This window comes from Homo sapiens, chromosome 2, assembly GCF_000001405.40.
Source record: "Homo sapiens chromosome 2, GRCh38.p14 Primary Assembly".
Classification (NCBI taxonomy): Eukaryota; Metazoa; Chordata; class Mammalia; order Primates; family Hominidae; genus Homo; species Homo sapiens.
In genome coordinates this window covers 238835398-238850630 of record NC_000002.12, presented here as the reverse complement: position 1 = coordinate 238850630, position 15233 = coordinate 238835398, and the positions used below count along the sequence as shown (strand labels likewise).

The following is a 15233-nucleotide window of genomic DNA, read 5'->3' as shown; positions in this document are numbered from 1 at the left end:
TTCTCTAAGTTTTGAGGAGTGCGATTATTTTTAAATGAATTTTAAATGTTCCTACTAAATTCTAGCAGCATCATATCTACTGGTATTTGTTTTCAGTAATTTTCTGGAGGGCAGTCTTAACGATAATTAAAGTGACATTTTCCTTAAACACGGCTCAATGTGTGTGTTTTTAAAAAGATGACATTCCTCATCTGTTTGTTCTTATTTCAGATGTGCTATAAACCATGAATGAGGTAAAGCATAAATGGAAGTAACTAATGGAAGCTCATTATTTAGGCAGCAAAAACCAGAATTAATGTATTACCCCACTGTAGCGTTTAGTACTCAGCCAATCCAAACTTTCCTAGAGAAATATGTGATTGAGACACTTTCCATCTGTTTTTGACAAAGACAGGAGAAGATTCCCACAAGTTATTTTCTGCTGAAAATTATTTTTTAAAAACTATACAATTATCATTATCTCAGGAGGCTCTGCAGCTACAGAATTTTCAGTGACACCAAAATAAAAGCTAAAAAAATGAAATAAAACCCACCTGTGCTGGATCAGCTTTTCGTGGCCTCAGCAACAACATTCGCAGATATTATAGAACCACATAAAAAAAGAAATAGATATGTTTGGGAGAATAGGCGGCCGGGTGCTCTTGATTAATCTAAATTCCTTCTGTGTGAAGTAGAGTCTTTTATAAAAACATCGCAAGATGTGCGAGGAACTAAAACATACTAAGGGGGAAGGATTTTTAACTCGGCCCCAGCAAAAAGAACTCTGTGCCCCTCCATGGCCCTGGATGGCGGATGAGAGAGGGGCTCGCCTGCTCACAGAGCCTAAGGACGGCGCCTCCGTGGCTCGAGCTTGTCTAAAGGGACTTGGAAGGTGTCTGGTGAAAAGGACCCGGTGCAGGACGCCCTAATCGCTCTTCCAGAGGAAACCAGAACTTGGAGTGCTCCTGGCAGCTGTGTCCCCCGAGCCTTCTCCTCGCGCAGGGCCCGGCGCGCACAGCCTCCCTGTCCCCCAGACCCGTTTCCCAGCCTGGACCCCTCGCCCATCCCTGCGGGGCTGGATGGGCGGGGCCCCTCCCGGGTACTCCAGGGTCAAGGTTGGGACTCAGGGCTCCCAGTTCCTAGGTCAGCTCCACCTGCCTGCGGGCGCCCTGGGGCTCCGCGCGGCTGCGTCGGACCCGCCTGCCTCAGCGCTCCAGGCTCTGCGCTCTCGGCCCAGGGCCCTTCTCGGGCACACCCGGCCCTGTGGCTGCTCTGGCCCCGAAGCGCAGGGCAGTTTCCTCCCGTCCTCCCCAGGCAAACCCTGGAGCCGCAGGCCCGCACCTCTACGCCCACTGGGCAGGCCAGGGCGCCGACGGCCGGGGACCCCAGGCGCGAGCAGCTGGGTAGATCTGAGTGTCCGCCCGACGGACGCGCTCTACCCTTGCCCAGGAAGAAAGCGAAGCCATTCGCCCGGCAACACCCGGCTCGGGCAGCTTCGCGGGCGGCCTGCGCTGCGGCGGACGCAAAGGGCAGCTGGTCCTCATATCCCAGTCCCCAGCCGGCCCCAGGAGGTTTTTCTGATGCTCGCTCCTTCCACCGCCAACCACGGACACCCACACACCACCGAGAATGAAAACTGCGACCATCTGTCTAAGTATCTTCAGAACCCGCCGGGGGAGTCACCGGTCCGCCGGTTCCCAACTGACACCCTCGCGTGGAAGTCTGCACTCAGGGGTGTCCCTGGGACTGTGAGCGTCCCGCCCGCCCGCCTTCCTTGCTAAGAGGAAAAGCGCACGGCATCCAAGCCCCCGCGGCCCGCGGGGCCTCGCCGAGGAGACACGAGCAGGCCCCAATGCCCCTGCGCCCCTGCCGCCCGCCCCCCGCAGCGGAGGGCGCCCGTCGCGCGCGCAGCACCTACCCTGGCGCGCCGGTCCGGAGGTGGGTGGCGCGGCGCTAGTGGGAGGCGGACATGGACCACGCGCCCTCCATGCGCCACACGGAGAAGGCGTAGCTGAGGCGCTCGTGGGCCACGTAGCTGCAGCTGGTCATCTTATTGTCCATCTCGTCGCTCTGCAGGACCTGGTAGAGGAAGTCTATGTACCTGGCGGCCAGCTTGAGCGTCTGGATCTTGCTCAGCTTGTCAGAGGGCAGCGTGGGGATGATCTTGCGCAGCGCCGCGAAGGCCTCGTTGAGCGACTGGGTGCGCTGGCGCTCGCGCACGTTGGCCAGGATGCGCTGGCTCTGCAGCTCCTCGAAGGACTGCGCGCTGGGGCTGCCCTTCTTGCCGCGCTTGCCCGGGGTCGGGCTGCCATCTTCGCTCGACTTCTTGCTGTAGCGCCGCTTCCGGCCGAAGCGCTTGGGCTGCCTCTCGAGCTCCTCCTCGCTGGTGCCCAGGCTGTCCACGGGGGACACGGGCGAGCTGGAGCCCTCCTCCATGGCGCCCGCCCGGCGCGCGTGGGGCTGGGGGCGCCGGGGCGCCGAGCGCGCGCCGCTGGCCAAGCCCGCGGTCGCCGAGCACACGCTCTCGGAGTTGCTGGAAAGGCTCTGATTTCAAGGCCGGCTTGTGCAAAACCGAGGTCTCCGGGAGAGGAAGTTATTCTAACTTTTTTGGAAACTCTAGCTGGGCTGGGTTGCTAAATAGTTGTCAGGAGCTAGGGCGGCGCGCTGATTGGCCGCGGTGGCCGGGGGCAGGACAAGTTCTGGGGCCTTCGCCGGCCGCCCCCGCCCCCCGGCGCGGCACTTTCAGTTTTGCCTCCCCCTTCGGCCCCGGCGCGGAGGGCATCCCGGGGGCCGGGTCCTCGCCCGCCGCCCGCGCCCCCACCCCGAACGCAGGGCACTCTCAGGCCGCCCCGAGCCCTAGGCCCGGCCAAGCCTGGCTTTGTCTACGCCTCAACGTAGAGATCGGCCCCCACTGGGCTTTGGGGGGTTCTCTCTCTGGGCGTGAGGGGCTAGAGAGGCGAGTCCAGTCCCAGATGCGCTCCCAGAAGATGAGGACGCAGCCAGGAGCCTCCTCGACCTGTGTGGGTCTTGGCCGCCCCCGGGCGCACAGCTAGTCTGCACCGCGGCCCGCAAGCTTAGGCCTGGGGTCTGGGGAGCTGCGCGGGCAGGGGTCTCGGTGTCCGGACCGCCAGTGTAAGGACAGTCGGGGCCCCCTGGAGACGCCCGTGCCCAAGGACATGCCGCCAAGATCCGTGGAGATGCCACCCTTCGGCCAGCGTGCGTGTCGGGGACCATTTCTTACCCTGGCTTGCTGGGGAGCCCCGGCCCCGACGCCCTTCCCGAACCTTCCTTCTAACAGCTTTAAAACAACGCCACAGCGAGCCTCTGCGGGAGCGCCCGGTACCCGCCGCGCCCGCCTGCCTGGCCCTACCCGGGTTGCTGGGCGCGGGTTGGGGCGCCTGCCGGCCCGCCTTGTACGGCCCCAGCCTCTGCGCTCCGCCTTCGCTTCGCGGGTCAGCAGAGGACGGAGGGCGCTCCGGGAGCTGCACGAGGCTGCCCCGGGCCCAGCCTCCGCTGCGCTGGCAGCCCGCGGGCAGCTCCGAGCAGGAGGCTCAGGGTGGCTGGAGTGTGGGGCCCGGCCTCGGTGAGCGACACCACGGACCCCGGCCCCGGGCCATCTGGACGGCGAGCGCGAGCGCGTTTGAAGTGGTTGGGGGGCTCTTTGTTCGCCAGGCCGCTCTGGCTCTGGGCCTGGAGGTGGTTTTTACGGCTTTGATGCCTTTGAACCTATTCCCAGGTGACCCGGGCTCAATTAGGCCCGGGCCTGAGCCGGGCTGTCAGGCAAGCCGCGTGATCAAGGGCGGGCTGGGCCCTTTTATTGAAGTTGAACCCGAGACCGGGGAGTGCTCGGCCTCCGCTGCTCCTCCGGCCGGCCAGGCGGGCCGCGAGGTGGGGCCCGCGGGCCACGACCACCGCGTTGGGAAACCCGAGGACGGCAAAGAGCGGGCCCTTCGCGCCCCTGTCCGAGGGCCCTGGCTCCGGCCGTTCTAGGGGACGTTTTACCAACAATCCGTCCAGGAAGGCAGAACGCCTAGGAGCGGGCCCTCGCATGCATGTGAGTCGGTAGCAGCGCCCTGCGCAGTGTCCGCGCACCGGACCCGCGGCTTCAGTTCGGTGCCTAAAGGTTCTGCAGAGCCACCGCACCCAGCCCCACCCGGCCTGACCGCCCTCCTTCCTCCGCGCTGGGAAGGCCCACGGCCCCTCTAGCCCAACAAAATAGCTTTCCAGGTCCCTTTCTTTAAAATTCTCAAATAAAAATTTAAGGAACGAGAGAGAGAGAGAGAGAGAAGCCAGGTCCCCAGCCGTCCTGCCGGTGCTGGGCTGCAGCCCTTCCTGGGGCTTCACGTCAGATGGAAAGGGCCTGTTTTTCCCGAACTGGCCTTTCCCTGGTTTCTTTGCTCAGAGCAGTGACAGTAGCGATTTGCTGCCCTTTTACCAACCCTGTGTGGGTCCAAGGACCCAGATCCAGGGACATCTTCCCTTTCCCAGATGCGGAGGGCTTTTACTGAGGAGAGGACCTGCCTGGTAGCCTGCTTCGCCATCCTCGTCTCCCTGTCTGCGTGCCCCTGTGTCACTCTGGCTCTGTCGGCGTGTCTCTTTCTCTGTCCTTTCTGTCTCTTTCTCCAGCAGAGAGAGTTCATAGTTTAGTTTGAAAGAAAAACAGCTCAGCTTTGGTCCTGAGCAGCCCAGGGCTCAGCCCAGCCCTGAAGACCAGAGGCCCCGGGGACGCCCTGGAAGGGCAGCGCAAGCTGGATTGCAGGCTCACCTCTGCCTGGGGAGATGGACCTGGAGGATTTCACCTGCGACCCCCCGGGGCGCCCTGGAGCTATCATAACCAGCAGCCCAGTTCAACCGTCTGGATGCACTTTCTTCATGGCGTGTCTTGTCTATTTTAAAATGCTTTAACAATGATTATAGTACTGGAGGCTGTGATACTGACGGCTGCCTGCGGAAAACCTTGCTTAACAGAATTTGGAGTGACTTTCTTATGCTGTATTGCCAGCCCCTCAGAGTCATTACCTGGGCAGTGACCCCTTGCATACATAGGAGAAGCTAAGGCACAGTGGCATTTAGCAGCGTTTCCAATGTCACCTGTATGTTGGCTGGGGAAGTGACAGCATTCCCCTCTTTTGAGGAGGGGAATTTGCTGAATTAAAACCCAAATGAAAATGTCATCAATTTGGGAAATAATACTCAGGTTATTGATTTAGTTTGAGTTTTTCTTTCAAAAATTAAGTCAGTGATAAGGCTAATAAAGCCAATTTATTAATAGCATAAGTAATACAATATATCTCTGTGTGAATACTCTTTGCAGGACCACCCAGGCTCACTTGGACTTCAGTAAAATATCACGCAACAAAGATTCACAGAAGTAAATACAGTTCTTGGGGTACTTATTCATTACTGAGTATGGAAAATCCTGTGAATGCTTCCTTTCATATATGTAAAAAAGTGTGCTTTGTTTCATGTGACTTTGTGTTTTTTAAAAAAAAATGAACTGGTGTTCTGAAAGATTCTTCTATTGCACATTTTCCTTAGGGCAGCAAGTAACAGAAGGTGATATGTTTTCACAGCAAATTTGCCAGCTATTAGATTGGCTTTAATCTTGCTGCAGTAGAATGACACTGCAGGGATTGTCACCTGGGGATAGTCTTCAAGAATAGCAGCCAGGCACGGTGGCTCGCGCCTGTAATCCCCCAACTCTTTGGGAGGCCAAGGCAGGTGGATCACCTGAGGTTGGGAGGTCGAGACCAGCCTGGCCAACATAGTGAAAGCCCATTTGTACTAAAAATACAAAAATTAGCTGGGTGTGGTGGTGCATGCCTGTAATTTCAGCTACTCGGGAGGCTGAGGCAGGATAATCGCTTGAACCCAGGAGGCGGAGGTTGCAGTGAGCCAAGATCATGCCACTGCACTCCAGCCTGGACGATAGAGCAAGACTGTGTCAAAAAAAAAAAAAAAGAAAGAAAAGAAAGAAAAAAGAATACGACGCAATTATACAGCCCCTGGGCTTTCTTAGGATAAGAAACTGTGTACTTGCTCAGATGTGAAAAAAATTTAGTAAACTCTCAGGAGCTAAATAAAGCAATGAATTTATACATTTGAATGCTGTTGTCGCTACCTTTTGTCAAAATGCCTGCACGGGTGAACCCACCTGAGCTCTTCAGCAGATCCTTTTGTAGTTTAACTCTATGAAGTTCTTGTTGGAGCAAGAGACAAAAACCAAGATATCGTTAAAGGTCTAGTTTCCATTCCCAGTGACATGGTGGGTTGTTACCTCCACTTGAATTTAGTGAACTGAGAGCAGATGACAGAGCAGCCCATATTTGTGTGACAGAATCAATCCAACAGATTAATGAATCAATGACATTGATCCGGGGGTTGGTAACAGCATCTCCCAAACAGCACTTCCTTATTTGCAAAGCAAATAGCATTGGCGCAGTAGCAGTCTTACACTAACACAGCGCTCCACTGACACTTTTCCATCAAACTAGTCTTGGTGCCTTCATTTTGAATTATTCTCTCGTAGACTGAGATGACAGTGAACATGACCCATTATTTTAAGAAACCACAAGTTTTCAGAGATGGACTCTTGAGAATTATCTGACAAAGTTTTGGCATTTCTGTGTAGATTCTAGGGGTCTTCAGCATCATGTTGCTGAATGCTAGAAATATGCTGTCTGGGAAAAAGCTATCCTTGTGCCATGTATTGTTGGCTTTATTCTGGCAATACTTTATGCCTACCTGCAACCACCTGCCACCCCCCAAGATTTCAATCATCCAGCACATTCCCCAGTGTGATAGAGCAGCGGTGAGGGTTGGGGGTCACTGTAAAAGCATTTTTCAGTTCTAAAAACCAGGGTTGAAGATGCTTCTCGAATCTAGTTGTAAAGTGCAATGTATTCTTGGTGATGGGCATCAGAACACTTTCTGGATGTCAAGTCCAAGAGCCAATCTTCTGCCTAACTTCAGCAATGACACCAGCAGGATGGAATCCTACTTACAAAGAGCCAGAACCTAAAGCCCAGGGCACACATCCTGTACAGGCAGGATTCTCCTTTAAAAATCCCAACTGCTACTTTGGGAGGCCAAGGTGGGCAGATCACTTGAGGTCAAGAGTTCAAGACCAGCCTGGCCAACGTGGCAAAACCTCATTTCTACCAAAAATACAAATAATTAGCTGGGCATGGTGGTGTGTGGCTGTAATCCCAGCTACTCTGCTGGCTGAGGCACGAGGAAGGAAATCCTGGTAACTGCTGCAATGTGAATTAATCTTGAAGTCATTGATGCAGTGGCTCACAACTGTAATCCCTGCATTTTGGGAGGCTGAGGCGGGCAGATCACCTGAGGTCAGGAGTTCAAGACCAGCTTGGCCAATTTGGTGAAACCCTGTTTCTACTAAAAATACAAAAATTAGCCGGGCATGGTGATGCACACCTGTAGTCCCAGCTACTTGGGAGGCTGAGGCAGGAGAATCTCTTGAACCCGGGAGGCAGAGGTTGCAGTGAGCCGAGATCGAGCCACTGAACTCCAGCCTGGGCAACAGAGCGAGTCTCTGTTTCAAAAAAAAGAAGAAAGAAAAAAAAAGAGAAAGAAGGAAAGAAAAGAAAGATCACTATATGGAAGAGATATCTGTGCACCCGTGTTTATCATACCACTCTTCATGATGATCAAGATATTGGATCAACTTAAGTGTCCATCATAGATGAATGCATACAAAAATCTGATATATATATATATATATATGATATATATATATATAAGATATATATATATATATCAGATATATATATATATAATGGAATATTATTCAGACATGAAAAGAATGAACTCCTGTCACTTTCAGCACCATGAATGGAACTGGAGGTCATTGTGTTAAGTGAAATAAGCCAGACACAGAAAGACAAATATCTTGTGTTTTCACTCACATGTGGGAGCTAAAAAATCATATCTCATGGAGATAGAGAGTAGGATCGTAGTTCCCAGAGGTCAGGAAGGGGAAGGGAGAGAGGGGGACAAAGACAAGTTGGCCAAGGGGTACCAAAATATAGTCATATAGAAGAAATAAGTTATAGTATTCTGCAGTGCTGTAGGGAAATTACAGTTAAAAATAATTTATTGCATATTTCAAAATAGCTAGAAAATAAGTTGTATGATGTTTCCAACAGAAAGAAGGACAAATGTTGAAGATGATGGACATCCCAATTACCCTGATTTGATCGTTACACATCATGTACAGGTGTCAAAATACCCCAAAAATATGTCCAACCAACCTGTCAAGAAAAAATATAAATGTTATAGATTCCGATCAACATTAAAAAAAAGATAAAAAATAATCCCCTTGAGAAATCCCTGGGGGTAGGGGGCCCAAGGCACAGCTGCAGTGTAATGGCCCTGCCCTCGAGTGTCTGACGTCGCTAACCCAGCAGTGTTGAACAGCGTCATCTCCTGGTGGTATTGTTCCTCCGTGTTTTGGGTCCTCATCCTCCTTTCCATCCAGCCTCTCTTCTTTCTTCTTGAATTGCAGCAGATGGGAAAATGAAAATGACCTTTTTCAGTATCTGGCAGCCCTGATCGGTGAGGTGCACTTCTAGGGATATGTAGGGAAATGGGCAGATGCCTGCACGTCACTGGTCAGCCCAGGGTGGAGGTGTTTGGTTTTCTTGGCAGCATGGTGTCCAGGCACCAGATGTCCAGAGGTGTGGTCTGCACATCCGGTTCCTGGAGAGACGTATAGCAGGAGCGCTGCAGCTCGGAAGCTGGCTGCAGCAGGAGCGGCTCCTTGATTCCAGGTGGTTCTGGATTCACCAGTTTCTGGATGTGATGAGTCAGCAACTCCAGCTCTGCAGTATGGCTCAGAAGCCAGCCTTGACAGCTCTACCTAGAGCCTGCTCATTCAGCTCCACAAACAATTCTATCATAGCCTCTAATAAGTCGTTTCCTGCTTAAGCAATGTGGGCCTTGTTCTCCATAATGGAATCCTGGTGCGACACCCACACTTCTGGGCTGTGGTTTAGAAGGTGGACGCTTGGGCTCCCCCTATCCTTTGGCTTTGACTTCTTGACATCATTCACATCTGCTTGTAAAGTGGAGCTAACACTGGCCTTTGGCACATGTTTTTATTTTTATTTATTTTATTATTTTATTTTATTTATTTATTTTTTGAGGCAGAGTCTCACTCTGTCACCCAGGCTAGAGCGCAGTGGCATAATCTCAGCTCACTGCAACCTTTGCCTCCTGGGTTCAAGCAATTCTCCTGCCTCAGCCTCCTGAGTAGCTAGGATCACACATGCTCACCACCATGCCCAGCTAATTTTTGTATCTTTAGTAGAGATGGGGTTTCACCATGTTGGCCAGACTGGTCTCAAACTCCTGACCTCAAGTAATCCATTTGCCTCGGCCCCCCAAGGTGCTGGGATTACAGGTGTGAGCCACTACGCCCAGCTGGCACACATTTTTAAATGCCTTTGAGATCTAATCAAAGTTGTTCTTGCATCAAACTCATATGACTTTTTTAAACCTGGAAAATATACCAAATTTCAATTAAAAAATGAAAATGGAAAGATCAAACAAGACATAAATAGAATCAGAAAGAATAGGGTGTAGGGGGCTGGGATGGGAGCCAATTCCCTCCAAATAAATCTTGTTTTGTAGATTTGACTTTGGAATCATGTAAATGTTCATATAATTATATATATAAAATCAAGTAAAATAAAAAAATAGAATCCCTAAAAAATCAAAAGCAAAATCACACAAATGTACCTTATCAAATGTGTATGATATTGGTGGCTCAACCATGCAGACAGAAATAATTTAAGATAGCTTTAAAACACTATAATTGCCTTACGTCCCTAGTGAAATACATTCTAAAGGCAAAAAGAACTGCAAAAAAAGGCTTAAACCTTTCAGCATTCATGTTTCTAGTAATAAAATTGCTATTGTTATTCCAAAACTATATTGTGAGCTAAGCCAAATGAATAATTATGTTCATGTCTTTGGGGATCAAGATCTCCAACCTCAAAGAAAAGAGGTACGAATGTAAAACAAAAGAAGTTGCCGGGTGCGGTGGGCTCCCGCCTGTAATCCCAGCACTTTGGGAGGCTGAGGCAGGCAGATCACAAGGTCAGGAGATTGAGACCATCCTGACTAAAACAGTGAAACCCCATCTCTAGTACAAATACAAAAAATTCGCTGGGCGTGGTGGTGGGCACCTGTAGTCCCAGCTAATCAGGAGGTTGAGGCAGGAGAATGGTGTGAAACCGGGAGGTGGAGCTTGCAGTGAGCTGAGATCTCGCCACTGCACTCCAGCCTGGACGACAGAGAGAGACTCCATCTCAAAAAAAAAAAAAAAAGAAGAAGTTAAGTGAAACCATGTAATTCTAAATTTGTTGGAAACATCAGCTATGGGCTTGGGTCTGTATTTCCTGACCCTGACCACTGAAAAGAACTAGAACAACGAGCCGCCCACTGCAATGAGCACCGCTAGTGTGCAGATTTTGGTCTCTCCTTGAAGAAATGGTTGACCTAGATCTAGGGCAAAACAAGATAAGCCTGGAGCATCTTACTATACCAGAAGACAAGGAAGCCATAAATAACTACCATGTTCATGTCAAAAGGACCAGGAAGGAACTGAAAAGTGTTTCCCCACTTCAGGGCAAATGAGCATGAATGAGAAAAGTAACTGCAATAGACAGAAACATATCACAGATGGTAAAAATCCTTAAGTCTCAATGTTACTCGAATACAAAACTTATTGGTCATTTTTGGCTGTTGCTAGGAAATGGACTCACTGTCCCAAAAATTGGTAAGTAAAGGGAAAGAATCAGGCATGTAACTAGCCTTTCTTACTGAATTATACCTCAATGTAATGTATGAGTTGATGAGAAAATATTTCACTCTATAGAAGTGTTCCAGATAACAAATGAAGGACAGACGGTAGAATTATAACATCTCTGTTATATAAGAATGGATTCAGGCACTGCTGGTCCATGCTAAGTAACATCATAGAAAGAGAGGTATGCCTCCTGGAGGCAGGACCCAGCACCACTTGAGAAGTTGCAAGTCATCTAGCCCCTGGCTAGGGCAGCCAGTTCCAGAAAAATCCAGGGCTAGCAGACAGGCTCAATGGTGTCATCAGGATGCAGTCAGATCTCACCCCTCCTCTGCTCCGCTCCCTCCAAGGGCTCATTTCACTTTGTATAAATGACTGTCTTTGCCAGCATCTGTAAGGCCCACCCAATCTGACAAAGATCCTGCCCCATGACCTCTCTAATTCCAGGTTCTATGTCTCTGGCTCACTCCACCCCTGTCACTCTGGGCTGCTGGCAGTTCCTCCCTGCATAGTGCATGTCCCCACACAAAAGCCTACCTGAAACTTCCTGCTCCCCAGATAGCCATGTGGCTGATGTTCTTACACCCTTCCAATCTATCTTATATCTATTATCACATAACAAACCACCCTCTAATGCAGTGCCTTCAAATACCAATCATTGTATTTGCTTACAGTTTTGTAGGCCAGCAGTTCAGATTGTGCTCAGCCAGGTGGTTTTTGGTTTGTTTGTTTGTTTGTTTGTTTTGGCAGTCCTGCCTGGTGTCACTCATGTGCCTGTGGTCATCTCATGGCTTAAGCCTGATGGCCTCTTTCACAGATCTGGTGGTAGTAGGCACCAGCTCTCACCCCTTGGTGCTCCTGCACATGGCTTCTCTAGCAGGCTGGCTTGAGTTTGTTCTTGCTGTGGTCTCAGGACTCCAACCACAGTCTGAAGAGCACAAGCCCCAAGGCAAATGCTTTCCAAGATTTTGCTCCTGACACATGTACCAATGTTCCATGGGCTAAGTCACAAGACCAAGCCCAGATTCAGGGCTTTGGCATTAAAGAGTTGATTGGCAGCTCTGTATGCATGTGTGTGTGTGCATTTGTGTGTGTGCATGTGTGTGTGTGTGTGCATGTATACGTGTATATGTGAGAAGAGGGACCATTGTCACTGGTAGGCTTACTTTGGGATGATCAGCTGGGGACTCAGTCACACTTGGGGGAAGACCGCCCAGTCATTGCTATTTTTCTTTGTGGCTGACCCTCTCTCCAGGGAGGAATTCTTCCACCTCCTGCTCTGGGGCAGAAGCTTGGGTTCTTTCCCTAAGTCTTGGGAGACTTAGGAGGGAAAGGGACCTAGGCAGGGGATCTCATCATTCAGAATGCAGATTTTCACACAGTTACCCTCTTTTCAGTACAAACCCTCTCATCTGTCAGCACTGCCAGGTTCTCCTTTTGGGCTCAGATTTTTCAGAGTGACGTTCCAGCTCCTTCCAGGCTTGCCCCCATGATTATTACCTCCCACCAGGTCCTTCCCACCACACATGGGAATTATGGGAGCTACAGTTCTAGATGAGATTTGGGTGGGCACACAGCCAAACCACATCCAATTCTCACTGTCCTGCCCTGATTTTTAATCTTCAAATTTGTCATTCACATCCTATGCCCTCACTTTCCTGCCCTGCTCAGCTCCCTATTCATTTAACTTCTTCAGACATAGCACTTTCAAATGAAAGCAGTGTGGAGGGATCATAGGAATCATGGTGGCATCTCTCCTCACCATACACTGGGGATACACCCTAATTAAAAATACATGTGGCTGGGCGCGGTGGCTCACGCCTGTAATCCCAGCACTTTGGGAGGCCGAGGTGGGCGGATCACCTGAGGTCTGGAGTTCTAAACTAGCCTGGCCAATATGGTGAAATCCCGTCTCTACTAAAAATACAAAAATTAGCCAGGCATGGTGGTGGGCACCCATAATCCCAGCTACTCGAGAGGCTGAGGCAGGAAATCACTTGAACCTGGGAGGCGGAGGGTTCAGTGAGCTGAGATCACGCCATTGCACTCCAGCGTGGGGGACAAGAGCAAGGCCTCATCTCAAAAAAAAAAAAAAAAAAGCGATTTATTGTACAACTATGGGTAGAAATTAATCAAACACAGCAAATTATTACTACAGTACCTTCTAATTAGCCATTATTTACTGTGCTTCATATTGTTCTAAGAAGTGGAGTAGGAGCCAATAGACAGATACTTTTTTTTTTTTTGAGATAGATGTAGTCTCGCTCTGTCGCCCCAGCTGCTATGCAATGGCGTGATCTCAGCTCACTGCAACTTCCGCCTCCCAGGTTCAAGTGATTCTCCTGCCTCAGCCTCTTGAGTAGCTGGGATTACAGTCACAAGCCACCACACCTGGCTAATTTTTGTATTTTTAGTAGAGACGGGGTTTCACCGTCTTGGCCAGGCTGGTCTCGAACTCCTGACCTCAGGTGATCCACCTGCCTCAGCCTCCCAAAGTGCTGAGATTACAGGCCTGAGCCACCTTGCCCAGCCAACAGATACTTTATGACAGTATGCTGAGGGATGTAATGGGGTTTCGAATCCACACTGAGAAGACTGAGAAGAGAATGATCTGCAGGATTAGGGGGTGCCTGGAAAGACCTCAGTAAGGGGCAAGTGTGATGGTGACTATTTTCAACTTGATTGGATTTAAGGGTGCAAAGTATTGTTCCTGGGTGTGTCTGTGAGGGTGTTCCCAAAGATTAACATTTGAGTCAGTGGACTAAGAGAGGCAGACCCACCCTCAGTCTGGGAGGGGACCATCTAATCAGCTGCCAACAAGGCTAGAATAAAGCAAGCAGAAGAACGTGGAAGGACTGGACTGGCTGAGTCTCCTGCCTTCGTCTTTCTCCTGTGCTGGGGGCTTCTTGACCTTGAACATCAGACTCAAGTTCTTCAGCTTTTGGACTCTTGGGCCTACACCAGTGGTTTTGCTGGGGGCTCTCAGACCTTCAGCCACAGACTGAAGGCTGCAGTGTCGGCTTCCCTGCTTTTGAGGCTTTGCAGACGGCCTATTGTGGGACATCAGCTTGTGATCATGCGAGCCAATTATCCTTCATGAACTCCTTTTCATAAATACATCTTTCCTATAGTCCTATCCCTCTAGAGAACCCTGACTAATACAGCAAGTAACATCTACCAGGCATAGGAGGGAGAAAAACTCATTCAGGCGAAGAGATGATGCTGTGACAAGACCCAAAGGCATGCAAGAGGCATTCATGTCCCTGAAATGGAGAGCACCCTGTGGCTCAGACCTCAGGGTCTCAGTGGTTAGCACTCTCTTGGTTGTAGGTAACAGACATTCAACCTGAACCTGCCTACCAGAAATGTATTGGCTCACTACTTGGGAAGTTCAGGCTTGGGCTGGCTTCAGGCTTAGCTGGATCCAGGAGTTTCAATGATGCTATATCCCTCTCCTTTCTCTCTATGCTTTAGCTCTGCCTCCCTCTGTGTGTGGGCCTTGCTTCTTCCTGTGCATGATAGGAGGTGGGATACTCCAGGGTCACATCTTCCCAGGACAGCAGTGCTCATTAAACAGCCTTCCTCTCTTGCTTGGCAGAGACACTAGGCATGGGGCTCTCCTGGCCTGACTGCAGCTGGGGCTCCTGTGATGGGGTGGGATAAGAAGGGCAGGTTGGTGCCCTGAGAGTGGAAAGAGGTGCTGGGCAGATAAGCAAGGCTTGTCCACTAGGGGTGCTGGCAGCACCGTAGAGGAAGGTGGGGACCAGGCTCCCAAGGGTCTTGTGGGACCAGTTAGGAGTTTGGATTTCCTTCTGGAAGCAACTGGAAACGAACCAGAGTTCTAAAGAAAAAAGTGATCCAGCTGGAAGACGGAAGCCAGCCCAGTGCCCAGCCAGACAAGGAACAGCGGTGGGTGGGGAGGGGACAGGAGGCAGCAGATGGGACAGGAGGCAGCGGAGGGGGAGTTGAGAGCGGGGAGTCAAGAGGTGGGAGCTGCAGAATTTGGCATCTCTTCCCATGACTGTGAAGTGTTTAGAGACTGGCTTGGGCTAACGTGGGAGCTCACTAGGACCCACCATCTCTTGCTGCATGTAGATGCTAATTGAGAGTGGGAAGGCAGGCAATTGAAACACTTATTTTTTATCATATAAGAAAAGAAATGCCAGCTGCAGTGGCTCATGCCTGTAATCCCAGCACTTTGGGAGACTGAGGTGGGTGATCACTTGAGCCCAGGGTACAAGACCAGCCTGGTGACATAATAAGACCCCATCTCTGCAAAAAATATACAAAAGTTGGCCAGGTGTTGTGGTGTGTGCCTGTAGTTCCAGTTACTTAGGATGTTGAGGCAAAAGGATCACTTGAGCCCAGGAAGTCGAGGCTGCAGTGAGCCGTGATCACGCCACTGCCTCCAGCCTGGGTGACA

The 15233-nt window shown here is 50.7% G+C and overlaps 1 protein-coding gene and 1 long non-coding RNA gene across 4 annotated transcripts in view, besides 4 other annotated features; one reads left to right on the top strand and one right to left on the bottom strand.

Annotated features, from left to right (window-relative positions):
- TWIST2 (twist family bHLH transcription factor 2) overlaps positions 1-2546 on the bottom strand; it is a 62450-nt gene extending 59904 nt beyond the window's left edge. For 2 of the 3 annotated variants that reach the window (NM_001271893.4, NM_057179.3), the window contains exon 1: positions 1898-2546. In NM_001271893.4, coding sequence (NP_001258822.1) covers positions 1933-2415 — 483 coding nt within the window. In that variant the 5' untranslated portion in view covers positions 2416-2546 and the 3' untranslated portion in view covers positions 1898-1932. Of the gene's footprint in view, positions 1-533 lie in introns of all 3 variants that reach the window. The other variant, XR_007069137.1, reaches the window with a different exon arrangement.
- Positions 1035-1545: an enhancer, noted in NCBI's record as "H3K27ac-H3K4me1 hESC enhancer chr2:239757727-239758237 (GRCh37/hg19 assembly coordinates)". NCBI's record gives its function as "activates a minimal SCP1, AML or CMV promoter by ChIP-STARR-seq in primed H9 embryonic stem cells {active_cell/tissue: H9 hESC(primed)}" and the evidence as "EXISTENCE:reporter gene assay evidence [ECO:0000049][PMID:30033119]".
- Positions 1546-2055: an enhancer, noted in NCBI's record as "H3K27ac-H3K4me1 hESC enhancer chr2:239757217-239757726 (GRCh37/hg19 assembly coordinates)". NCBI's record gives its function as "activates a minimal SCP1, AML or CMV promoter by ChIP-STARR-seq in naive H9 embryonic stem cells {active_cell/tissue: H9 hESC(naive)}" and the evidence as "EXISTENCE:reporter gene assay evidence [ECO:0000049][PMID:30033119]".
- On the top strand, positions 2724-6085 carry LOC100287387 (uncharacterized). Its single transcript, NR_157851.1, has one exon. It is a non-coding gene; the product is annotated as an uncharacterized LOC100287387 (long non-coding RNA).
- Positions 3589-4099: an enhancer, noted in NCBI's record as "H3K27ac-H3K4me1 hESC enhancer chr2:239755173-239755683 (GRCh37/hg19 assembly coordinates)". NCBI's record gives its function as "activates a minimal SCP1, AML or CMV promoter by ChIP-STARR-seq in primed H9 embryonic stem cells {active_cell/tissue: H9 hESC(primed)}" and the evidence as "EXISTENCE:reporter gene assay evidence [ECO:0000049][PMID:30033119]".
- Positions 4100-4610: an enhancer, noted in NCBI's record as "H3K27ac-H3K4me1 hESC enhancer chr2:239754662-239755172 (GRCh37/hg19 assembly coordinates)". NCBI's record gives its function as "activates a minimal SCP1, AML or CMV promoter by ChIP-STARR-seq in primed H9 embryonic stem cells {active_cell/tissue: H9 hESC(primed)}" and the evidence as "EXISTENCE:reporter gene assay evidence [ECO:0000049][PMID:30033119]".